General features: G+C 49.1%; 1 protein-coding gene across 11 annotated transcripts, besides 2 other annotated features; it reads right to left on the bottom strand.

Annotated features, from left to right (window-relative positions):
• Positions 201-11,170, bottom strand: TMEM219 (transmembrane protein 219). Of its 11 annotated transcripts, none has more exons than XR_007064854.1 (7): positions 11,017-11,170; positions 9,941-10,142; positions 9,660-9,849; positions 4,995-5,224; positions 1,671-1,841; positions 1,109-1,207; positions 201-299 (listed from the first exon to the last, which is right to left on the bottom strand). XR_007064854.1 is itself a non-coding variant. In XM_047433622.1 (6 exons), the coding sequence occupies exons 2-5, from the start codon at positions 10,103-10,105 to the stop codon at positions 1,704-1,706; spliced, it is 723 nt and encodes a 240-aa protein (XP_047289578.1). In that variant the 5' UTR covers positions 10,106-10,142; positions 11,017-11,170; the 3' UTR covers positions 201-299; positions 1,671-1,703. The 11 variants fall into 11 exon arrangements, 7 of the variants coding, with proteins under 7 accessions (XP_047289578.1, XP_005255180.1, NP_001077082.1 ...); XR_007064853.1 differs by having other exon boundaries at positions 11,117-11,170; NR_161465.1 differs by having other exon boundaries at positions 9,941-10,139; positions 11,117-11,170.
• Positions 10,888-11,337: a silencer, noted in NCBI's record as "silent region_7345". NCBI's record gives its function as "represses an Ori minimal core promoter by ATAC-STARR-seq in GM12878 lymphoblastoid cells {active_cell/tissue: GM12878}" and the evidence as "EXISTENCE:reporter gene assay evidence [ECO:0000049][PMID:35858748]".
• Positions 11,688-11,797: an enhancer, noted in NCBI's record as "active region_10684". NCBI's record gives its function as "activates an Ori minimal core promoter by ATAC-STARR-seq in GM12878 lymphoblastoid cells {active_cell/tissue: GM12878}" and the evidence as "EXISTENCE:reporter gene assay evidence [ECO:0000049][PMID:35858748]".

Raw genomic sequence — 12,131 nt, 5'->3', positions numbered from 1 at the left:
ATTTTATTTCGTAGAAGAAAACAAGACAGGTGTTTACCAAAGCCAAGTCAACCATGGGGAGAGCTCAAGTAACCTATGCCCTATGCCAACCTGTGTCCAAACTAGAGAGTCAACAGGAAAGAGTCCCCCAAAACTTCTAAGCCTGCCTACCCTAAAATCCCCACCTCAATCCAACCCCCAATAAACACCATACACGCCACTGGGCAAAAAAGCTTTTTATTTTCCCCCACATTCCAGCTCTTCACTTTTTCTAAAACCTTTTCCAACTCAGAGCCAAGGCCCAAGAAGTTGATTCACACCTGGGGAGAAAGAAAATAAAACAACAAAACAGGTCGAAGAGCTGCTAGAGGAAGCTCTGAGATGTGTGCAGAAATTGAGGAAGGAGCAGAGGGAGTGACAGCTAGAGACCAATACGGGCATTTAATCCCAACTAAGGTAGCCTCAGGACCCCAGGGTCTGTCAGGGGCCAGGAAGCCCTCCTTTCCCAGTCCAAGGTTGAGAGGGTCCTGTCATTTCCTGTCCCAAGTAGGTGGTTGGGGCATTTAGGCCCAGCCATCAGCAAAATAAGCACAGTTGATCTTGAGCTTCCACTTCCTCTGGCCTGATCAGTTCCCTGGGCCTCAACTATTTCCACTTTTCCCATAGTAACTTCCTAGGGCACTGCAGCCAGCTGAAGCTGAGACCAGTTCAAGAGCTGGATGCATAACACATGGCTCTCAAATTTCATGCACCCCCCTCTGACAAGTGAAGATTTTTTGCAGAAATATTTTTTCCTTTAGTGAGCTGATGTGTGAACTGGTTAACCAACATGACCCCCACCCACTGCTACGTTTGTGAAGCTGATTCCCTCCAAAGATCTTGTTAACGGAATCAGCTTTTTCTAAAGGTAACGATGACTAAATGGAAGACAGAAGGTGCATGTCAAGTTCTTGGGCACATACTATGTCCCCAGTAAATGAGTATCATCAGTTAGACTCTTCTGAGCGGTTCAAGTTGAATTTTACAAAATTTCCATCATAAAACTGGGTATTGGAATTTCAGGACAAAAGCAAGACAAACATGGTTCATATTCAGGACAAATCATCAAATGTGAACCCTCTTAACTCACCATTGTTACCCAAATGCTTGGATGTGAACTAGTTATGAGTCTTAAAATCACAATGTTGCTTGAAAGAAGTCAGCCACAAAAGAATGTGTATGATTCTGTCTACATAGTTTCAAAAATAAGTAAAACCAAACTATATTATTTAGGAATACATACATGGCAATACATTATAAAGCAGGACAGTAATTTCTAGGGAGAGAGAGGGCATTGTCAGGAAGGAAGGGACCATGGGGGGTTTCTGGACAGCTGGTAATATTCTACTCAGTGGTATTTATAAGTATCCACTTTATAATAATTTGCCAAGCTGTCCTTTTATACTATTGGACTTTTCTACATAAGTGTTAACTATTTTATAATAAAAAAGTTAAAGTAATTAGAAAAATATTGAATGCTGACGGTGTCAAATTGTTCCCAGTCCCTAAGGGAGAGCTGTGGTTGAAGAGGTTCTCGGGGACTCAGAAGCAGCAGTCTTTGAGGAAAAGTCCAAGGATCTGCTCTACCCCGGTTACAACCCCCACCCCCACCCCATTCCCTGCTCCCGCAGGACTGGAGCAAAGAACCTCACCTGAGAAACAAGTCGGGAACTAGGCCAGTGCCCTCAGAGCCGGGTTCTAGACCAGTGGGACTCCCGGCGCGGGTGGAAGCACATAGCAGTGACACAGCAGAGAAGGCCACAGAAGAGAAGCAGGAAGGAGCCCAAGACCAGCAGCCTGGAGCCACACAGAGCCAGCTCCTCCTAGGGAGGGGTACAGGGAGAGGAGGAGGAGGACATGTTAATCCAGTCCAAGGGCTATAGAAGGAGCCTCCATGAGGGAGAGGGCTCTCCACATCTAGGGAGCAACTGAAGGGAAAATGTTATTTTCATATAAGCTGACATTTGTCTTTTTTTTTTTTTTTTGAGATGGAGTCTTGCTCTGTCGCCCAGGCTAGAGTGCAGTGGCGCGATCTCAGCTCACTGCAAGCTCCGCCTCCTGGGTTCACGCCATTCTCCTGCCTCAGCCTCCCAAGTAGCTGGGACTACAGGTGCCCGCCACCACGCCTGGCTCATTTTTTGTATTTTTAGTAGAGACGGGGTTTCACCGTGTTAGCCAGGATGGTCTTGATCTCCTGACCTCATGATCCGCCCACCTCGGCCTCCCAAAGTGCTGGGATTACAGGCGTGAAACACCGCGCCTGGCCCTTTTTTTTTTTTTTCTTTTTGAGGCAGGGTCTCACTCTGTAACTCAGGCTGGAGTGCAGTAGTGCAATCTCGGCTCACTGCAACCTCCGCCTCCTGGGCTCCAGCGATCTTCCCACCTCAGCCTCCTGAGTAGCTGGGACCACAGGTGTGTGCCACCACGCCCAGCTAATTTTTTGTGTGTTTTTTTGTAGAGATGGGGTTTCACCATGTTGCCCAGGCTCGAACATTTGTCTTGATGGTTTAAAAACTACTTTCTTGCCCAATTATCAACCTGAAACCCCATCATAACTCCATGAGATAGGAAACTTCATTATGATCCACAGTTTAAAGATGTATAAGTGGCTGGGTGCGGTGGCTCACACCTGTAATCCCAGCACTTTGAGAGGCCGAGGTGGGTGGATCACGAGGTCAGGAGATTGAGACCATCCTGGCTAACACAGTGAAACCCCATCTCTACTAAAAATACAAAAACTTAGCCGGGCATGGTGGCGGGCGCCTGTAGTCCCAGCTACTTGGGAGGCTGAGGCAGGAGAATGGCGTGAACCTGGGAGGCGGAGCTTGCAGTAAGCTGAGATTGCGCCACTGCACTCCCGCCTGGGCGATAGAGCAAGACTCCATCTCAAAAAAAAAAAAAAAAAAAGTGCAAGCAGTGCTAGATCTGGAAACCAGATCTCTGATTCCAAGTCCCAGGTTGTGCTCCTCATGGGGTCTTTTCTTTTTTTCTTTATTTGAGACGGAGTCTCACTCTGTTGCCCAGGCTGGAGTGCAGTGGCATGATCTCAGCTCACTACAACCTCTGCCTCCCAGGTTCCAGAGATTCTCCTGCCTCAGCCTCCTGAGTAGCTGGGATCACAGACGCCCGCCACAACATCCAGCTAATTTTTAAATTTTTAGTAGAGATGGGGTTTCACCATGTTGGCCAGGCTGGTCCTGACCTCAAGTGATCCACCGGCCTTGGCCTCCCAAAGTGCTGGGATTACAGGCGTGAGCCACCGTGCCTCATGGGGTATTTTCAAATGTGAGAGTGGAGTGTGCAGCAGCCTCCTGACTGATGGCCCTCCTCCACTCAGCCATTCTCCACCCAGCACCAGGGAAGCACATCTCTCTCCTCCTTAAAACTCCTCAGTGGCCCCCACGGCCTTCAGCATCAGGTCATAGCCCTCTATCCTGCATTCACAGAGCCTCTCCATCAAATCCCTGTGGTCTCTCTTGCCTTTTCTCCTTCCTAAGCCTCTCAACATGGAGTGCTCCCAAAGGCTGAACACTTTCTTTTTTTTTCCTTCTTGAGACAGGGTCTCACTCTGGCAACCAGGCTGGAGTGCAGTGGCACAATCATGGCTCACTGCAGCCTCAAACTCCTGGGATCAAAGGATCCTCCCACCTCAGCCTCCTGAGTAGCTGGGACTATAGGTGTGTACCACCACACCCTGCTAATTAAAAAAAAAAATGTTTTTTTTAAGAAATGGGGTCGCCAGGCGCAGTGGCTCACACCTGTAATCCCAGCACTTTGGGAGGCTGAGGTGGGTGGATCACGAGGTCAGGAGATTGAGATCATCCTGGCTAACAAGGTGAAACCCTGTCTCTACTAAAAATACAAAAATTAGCCGGGCATGGTGGCAGGCGCCTGTAGTCCCAGCTACTCGGGAGCCTGAGGCAGGAGAATGGCATGAACCTGTGAGGTGGAGCTTGCAGTGAGCCGAGATTGTGCCACTGCACCCCAGCCTGGGTAACAGAGTGAGACTCCGTCTCAAAAAAAAAAAAAAAAAAAAAAGCGAAAAAGAAACGAGGTCTTGCTATGTTCTCCAGGCTGGTCTGGAACTCCTGGCCTCAGGCATTCTCCTTGCTTCGGCCTTCCAAAGTGCTGGGATTACAGATGTGACACCTGGCTGAACACTTTTCAATCTCTAGGCCTGTGCGCATGCTGGTGCCTTTGCCTGGAGTGTACCTCCCCCTCTCCTGAACCTCCTCTACTGCAGTCCCTGTCCAAATCTTCCTCATTCTTCAAGGATCATTCTGACTTGACAGAAGGTGTGGGTTGCAACCCTGGCTCTGCCACTTAACCAGTTGTGTGGCCTGCAGCAATTCACTCCCTTTCTCTAAACCTGTTTCCTCATCTGTAAAATGGGATAATAACACCTACCTCAAAAGGCTATTTTAAGATCAAATGAATTAATGAACCCTGAGAGCACTTTGTGCATTATAAACCACTGTGCACAATGCTCTCTGGTAAATGCCACCTTCTCTGTGATGCACTCTCCATAAATGTTCAAGTTAGGGTTAATGGCTCCTTTCTCTGTGTTTGCATAACACTTTGCTCACATCTCTCTAATAGCAATTAGCCCATTTGCCTCTTATTATAGCTTCTGAACTCCTTTGAAGTAGAGAGAATGTTTTAAAGACAATAGTAAACAACAATAGCTGTCACTTATCAAATCTCTATGTCCCAGGCAATGTGCTGGGCACTTCACGGTCATTCTCATTTAATCCTTATTTGATGGAATTAAGAGATAGGGTCATGTTTTCTGTTTTACAGATGAGGATGCTGACACTCAGAGATGTTTAGACACTTGTTCTACGTCACACAGCCCCCAAGGCAGGGTTATAAAACCTGTGCTTTTTCTACAAGGTAGAATTGTTTCCAGGGACCTTCAAGATACAGTAGTCAGCAGGCAGTCTACAAAACCCTGGCGACCCATCTGAGGCTCTTACCGAGGTGAGCAGCTTGGTCAGCACAAGGCCTTCATGGCTCCAGACACTAACACATTCCTCACCCATTCTAGGGCTCAGGGTGGCATTTCCAGCCCCCTCCTCTGAGCAGGATATGGGTGGCTGGCTGGAGGGTAGGATTCCTGGAACAGCACTAAAATATAGGCAGGTTCCTGCAGTCCTTTCTGTGGTCACCCTGGCTGTGATAAGGACCAGTTGTCCTGCAGAAGATCCTGTGAAAGGCACAGAAGAGAAAATGGAAGAAAATGAGAGGTGACGCGGGAGCCTCTGTCTTCACGCTTCTTTTCTTGTATTTTCTTTTTTTTTTTTTGAGGCGGAGTCTCGCTCTATCACCCAGGCTGGAGTGCAGTGGCGCAATCTCGGCTCACTGCAAGCTCCGCCTCCCGGGTTCACACCATTCTCCTGCCTCAGTCTCCCGAGTAGCTGGGACTACAGGTGCCCACCACCAGGCCCAGCTAATTTTTTGTATTTTTAGTAGAGACGGGGTTTCACTGTGGTAGCCAGGATGGTCTTGATCTCCTGACCTCGTGATCCGCCCGCCTTGGCCTCCCAAAGTGCTGGGATTACAGGCGTGAGCCACCGTGCCCGGCCCTTTTCTTGTATTTTCTTTCTTTCTTTATTTTTTTGAGATGGGGTCTCACTTTGTCGTGCAGGTTGGAGTGCAGTGGCACGATCCCAGCTCACGGGAGCCTCAACCTCCTAGGCTCAAGTGATCCTCCCACCTCAGTCTCCTGAGTAGGCAGGGCTACAAGTGTGTGCCACCTACCTGGCTAATTTAAAAAAATTTTTTTGTAGAGACAGGGTATCACTGTATTGCCCGGGCTGGACTCAAACTCCTGGGCTCAAGCCATCCTGCTACCCTGACCTCCCAAAATGTTGGGATTCCAGGCATGAACCACCACGCCTGCCCCTAGTCATTTTTTAAGGCTTTCTATAATACCAGGTGTTTTGGCATTGATTCTATTCAATAAAGTATTCCATATACCATTATTTATATCACTGAGAAATGAAAATAACTTTGTATCAATATAAACACAAATTAAGTTGTAATTTAAATTAACTTAAATTACAATCAATACAACAACCATACTAATACTCGCAAGGCTGCAGTGAAATGGGCAGATACACATTGCCCATGTCAGTTTGCATAAACTAGTTCATTCTTTTTAAGAAAGCAGTTTCTCACTTGGTACCAAAATCCATTAAAAGGTTCTCACCCTATTTTAAATTAGTGGGGAAAGGATGGCCTCAGTAAATGGCCTTGGGAAAATTTCCATGTAGAAAAAAACATAGCGTCAAACTGTTATCTTATAAAATAAAGTTCAGATGTATTAAAGAACTATACAAACTAAAAAAAAACTTAAGTATTTAAAGAAAATACAGAATATTTTATTTTATTTTATTTTATTTTATTATTTTTGAGACAGAGTTTCACTCTTGTTGCCCAGGCTGGAGTGCAGTGGTGCAATCTCAGCTCACTGCAACCTCCACCTCCTAGGTTTAAGCAATTCTCCTGCCTCAGCCTTGTGAGTAGCTGGGATTACAGGTGCCCACGACCATGCCTGGCTAATTTTTTGTATTTTTAGTAGAGACGGGGTTTCATCATGTTGGCCAGGCCAGTCTTGAACTCCTGACCTCAGGTGATCCACCTGCCTCAGCCTTCCAAAGGCTGGGATTATAGGAATGAGCCACCACGCCTGGCCAGAATATTTTCTAATTTTAAAATGAGGAAGGGCTTCCTATGAAAGACACAAAACCTAAAAGTTTTAATAAAGGACAAGAGTGATAAACCTAACCTCATAAAAATTAAAGACTTCTATGCAATGAAAGATAAGTTAAAAAAACAAGTAACATATTGAAAATACCTATAATATATTTAAATGACAAAAGGTTTACTATCTAGAATAAAGACCTACAAATCAAGAAGAAAAAGACAAATAACTTAAAAGAAAAAGGAACAAAGGAAACAAACAGGTAATTCACAGGCAACATGAATACAGACAATAAACCATAAGAGGCTCAACCTTACTAGCAATCAAGAGAAAGTAAATAAAACAATTGGGTAATACGCCAGACCCGGTAGCTCATGCCTGTAATCCCAGCACTTTGGGAGGTGAGGCAGGAGGATCACTTGAGCCCAGTAGTTTGAAACTAGCCTGGGCAACATAGTGAGACCACATCTCTATAAAAAATACAAAAATTGGCCAGGCGCAGTGGCTCACACCTGTAATCCCAGCACTTTGGGAGGCCAAGGCGGGCGGATCATGAGGTCAGGAGTTCAAGACCAGCCTGGCCAACATGGTGAAACCCCATCTCTACTAAAAATACAAAAATTAGCTGGGCATGGTGCCACATGCCTGTAATCCCAGCTACTTGGGAGACTGAGGCAGGAGAATCTCCTGAAACTGGGAGGCAGAGGTTCAGTGAGCTGAGATCGCATCACTGCCCTCCAGTCTGGGTGACAGAGCAAGACTCCTTGGGCTGGGGGGCGGGAATTAGGTGAGCGTGATGGCGAGCACCTGTAATCCCAGCTACTCAGGAGGCTGAGGCAGGAGAATGTTTACTGCAAGCCCTGCCTCCCAGGGATAAGCAATCCTCCCACCTTAGCCTCCCAAGTAGCTGGGACCACAGGTGTGCACCACCACGCCTGGCTTTTTTTTTTTTTTTTTTTTGTATTTTTAGTAGAGACAGAGTCTTGCCATTTTGTCCAGGCTGGTCTCGAACACCTGCGCTCAAGCAATCTGCCTGCCTTGGCCTCCCAAAGTGCTGGGATTACAGGCATGAGCCACCACATCCGGCCCTAACTGTACACTTTCAATGGGTGAATTGTATGGTACATGAATCATATCTCAATAAAACTATTATATATCTATTTAAAAGTAAAAAGAATGGGAAAGAATTGTCCCAAGTCTGCATATATCGGACACATTCCTTATTTTTGTTAACATACATGTACATCTGGACATGCAGAGACCCACTCCCCCGACACATATATACTCACAGGAGAATCTTAGAATGATAGTGTTGTAAAGGACCTCAGAAGTCAGAAAATACCACCCTCTTCCATCCCTCTTTATCTTAGCATATTTTAGATAAGGCCAAATGTCACACAGGGATTATTGGCATCCACTGACATTTTCACATTCTCCCTATCGCTTGTCATTTTCCCAGAAGACTATAGCTCTTTGGAAATTGATGGTGTCTAATTTTTTTCTGCATCTTTTGTGGCATACAGAACTATGCTAAGGAAAAAGGGGCCTCTAGGAGGAGGTGGCTAAAGGATGAGAAAACATTAGGTCAAACCTAGCCCATTTCATCCTACCTCCAAGGATAGACTCAAAGAACATCAGAACTGGCAGAGGAAGAAAGCATTCATAGAAAACCTACCCTGTCGGCAGCATGTTCACTGAAAGCCCTAATCACAGAAGTGACTAAAGTCCAGGGATGTGCCCAAGGTCATCATTGGTGAGGTCAGAGGCAGGGCCCAGCCCTGAGTGTTCTGATACCCGACCCCACAGTCCTCTGTGATCTCACCTTACTTTTTTTTTTTTGGCGCAGGGTGGTGGGGGGGGCGCGGGGCGGGACAGAGTCTCTGTTGCCCAGGCTAGAGTGCAGTGGTGTGATCTCTGCTTATTGCAACCTCCGCCTCCCAGGTTCAAGCGATTCTCCTGCCTCAGCCTCCCAAGTAGCTGGGACTACAGGCACCTGCCACCACACCTGGCTACTTTTTGTATTTTTGTTTGTTTGTTTGTTTGAGACGGAGTCTTGCTCTGTCTCCCAGGCTGGAGTACAGTGGCACGATCTTGGCTCACTGCAACCTCCACCTCCCGGGTTCAAGCAATTCTCCTGCCTCAGCCTCCCAAGTAGCTGGAACTACAGGCTTGCACCACCAAGCCTGGCTAATTTTTTTTTTTGAGACCGAGTTTTGCTCTGTTGCCCAGGATGGAGTGCAGTGGTACGATCTCGGCTCACTGCAACCTCCGCCTCCTGGCTTCAAGTGATTCTCCTGCCTCAGCCTCCTGAGTAGCTGGGATTACAGGCACGTGCAACCATGCCCGGCTAATTTTTGTATTTTTAGTAGAGATGGGGTTTCACCATGTTGGTCAGGCTGGACTCAAACTCCTGACCTCATGATCTGCCCGCCTCGGCCTCCCAAACTGCTGGGATTACCGCTGTGGGCCACCGCAACCAGACCACCAGGTTAATTTTTGTATTTCTAGTAGAGACGGGGTTTCACCATGTTGGCCAGGCTGGTCTCGAACTCCTAACCTCGTGATCTGCCCTTCTCGGACTCCCAAAGTGCTGGGATTACAGGCATGAGCCACCGCACCTGATTTTTTTTTTTTTTTTTTTTGAGACAGAGTCTTGCTCTGTCACCCAGGCTGGAGTGCAATGGTGCGATCTCGGTTCACTGCAACCTCCATCTCCTGGGTTCAAGCGATTCTCCTTCCTCAGCCTCCCGAGTAGTTGGGATTAGAGGCGCCTGCCACCATGCCTGGCTAATTTTTGTATTTTTAGTAGAGATGGTGTTTCATCATGTTGGCCAGGCTGGTCTTGAACTCCTGACCTCAAATGATCCACCTACCTTAGCCTCCCAAAGTGTTGGGATTACAGGCGTGAGCCACCACACCCAGCCTCTGATCTCACCTTTCAATCCCATCTGACTTCCCAGGACTGTGGCCTGGAATGTCCGGGTCTTGTTCCTGTCTGGACCGTCTCCGAAGTTCAAGGTGGTCAGCAAGCCCACGACGTGAGACCCTCGCCACTTCCCTGTGACTGTCCCATTCCTGGGACACAGGGTCAGCTGGCCAAAAGATCTCAAAAAAGAGACCCAGTCCTGTGAGCAAAAGAAGACGGGTGAGATGAGATTAGCAGCAAAAGCCTGTCTAGGTTGGAAGGAAGAGCGGGTACGGGGGTGGGGAACTTACCTGGGGGATGTCAGGGCTGCGCAGGCCAGTCCTGTGGGTGAGGAGGAAGCTGCCAAGGCCCAGGCCAGAGAGGCCAAGGAGCAGCAGGATCAAAGTGGCACAGACCAGAGGTGGGTGGTGGGCCAGACACAGGTGCAGGTTGTGCCCTGCCTGGCAGTTGCCCATGGGGAGCAGAGGGGGCTGAGCCTCCGGGGAGAGCCTGCTGGAAGACAGGGAGGGAGAATGGGACAAGAGCACCGCTTTTACGCAAAGAGAAAAGAAAGCTCAGAGAAGACAAAGGACTTCCCAAGGCCACACAGTAAGTGGCAGAGCCAGAACAAGAATCCAAGGTTCCCGACTCCAAAAGTTCAACTCCCTGCACTGCTGGATAAATATTTGCTGCATTTCATTTCTGAAGTAATCTAAGTGGAGGCAGAGCAGTGTACTCCGTGCTGGAAGAAGGAAACTGAAAGGGAGACTTCTCAGCTGGAGAAACAGGAAGCACTGTTCTGGGGCGAGGATTTGGCTGAGGAATAGTTCCAGCCAGAGCCCAGACAAGGGAAGACTCTGGAGAAGAACTCCACTGTGCAGCTAAACGGCTAGATCTGAATCCCTTTCTGTTATTCACTGACTCTGTGAGCTTAAGAATCCATGAAATGGGAGTTCTGAGAACACCAAGTAATAAGGATTAAACGTGGCGGATGAAGCAGTCTGCGTGGTATTTGGCCATGCAGGAATTCAACAAATGTCCACTTCCTTTCTCTTTCTCGTACAGATCCTCAAAACCGGGTAAGGCGAGGCAAAAAATACTGTGAGGGAAACTGAGGCTCGCGGACTTTAACACAGGAGGGGTAGGGCCAAGATCTGAACCCCGCCTCCTGCTTCCAAGTGGGGTGCTCCTTCCCACGCAAGGTGCGACGGCCTGATGGAAAAGAACTTCTGGAAGGCGAAGAGATAAACAGGGGTCGGGGGAAAAGAAGGGAGCCACGGAAATGTAGGTGTCACAAATGCTCAGCCCTGCCCCGCCTCCCGTCCGGCTGGAAGGGGGTTAAAGGGAGGGGAGGGCAGAGTCTGAGGGTCCGCCGCCGCTGGTGCACCTGAGCACCCCCTCCCCGGAAAGCCCCCGCCCCGAACGATTGCAACGCCCTCGTCCCCTCCCGGTCTCGCGCGTCGGATCCGCCAGCCGCTCGCTCTTACCCCTCGGGGCCGGGCGGAGGCCGGCGCCCCCCGCGACGTCACGAGCGGGGCCGCGAGGGGGCGGGGTCCGTGCTCTGCGCTTCCGTCCCCGACCCTCCTCCTCGCGCGGCCCCGCCCCGCGGCCGGGTCCGCATGCGCAGTGGCCACGCGGGCGCCAGCCTCGCAGCTCACCGCCAGGGTGGGGGCGTACCAAAGGGACACCCAAGGAAGGAGCCACCAGAAAGGAAAACCTCCGTGGGAGGGGTGGAAACGGGAGCGAGGCCAGGGAGCAAGTGCGAGAAACGTCGCAGAACCCGTAGGCTCCCTCCAGAGAGACTGGCGAGAACTGCCCCAGAAGCTTGTCGCGGGCATTTTTGGGCTGTGCGTCCCCTACCCGCGCCAATAGCACAGACCAGCCGCGCCCGGGTTCCCGGTGAGGACTCGGCATCCGCTCAGAGTTGCAGGGCTGCCACTTGAGGACTCTGTCCACTGGGGCTGGGAGTGGTGTTTTGGACTCCGCTCTTCTGTGCACCCCGATCTGCACCTTTCTCGTGGACCCTGACTTTTAGTGACTCCTTAATGTATAGGATGCTGGAGCTGAAGAGTTGCTCAGTAGAGAGCATCTCAGTTCACTTCTGCCCAAGTTTTGGAGGTGAGAACATCTGACTGGAGGTAGCATGACACATGGAGCCAGGAACTTTGGGTTCAAATCCTGACTGTCCGTACCCTCGCATAAGCCATAGCCGCGCTCTCAGGGGACTAAGCTTACCCCTCTACTAAAGAGGATCATCCTATCTATCTCACCGGTTGGATCAGAAGCTTAAAGGGTAAAATGTGGGAAAACATGGGCCCAGTGCCCACTAAGCACACAGGACAGATGCTACTTGAAACGGAATCTATTTAATTCGACTGTGGCTTCCTTAAGGCAGAGGCCATGTCGTTTGTATCAACAGCCACAAAAGTTTGTGGCACAAAACCTTCGCATATACAAATGATTTTTTTTTTTTTTGAGACGGGGTCTCAGTCTGTCGCCAGG

The sequence above is a fragment of the Homo sapiens genome, chromosome 16 (genome assembly GCF_000001405.40).
Source record: "Homo sapiens chromosome 16, GRCh38.p14 Primary Assembly".
Classification (NCBI taxonomy): Eukaryota; Metazoa; Chordata; class Mammalia; order Primates; family Hominidae; genus Homo; species Homo sapiens.
Note: the sequence above shows the minus strand (reverse complement) of the source record. Positions and strands in the feature narration are given on the sequence as shown.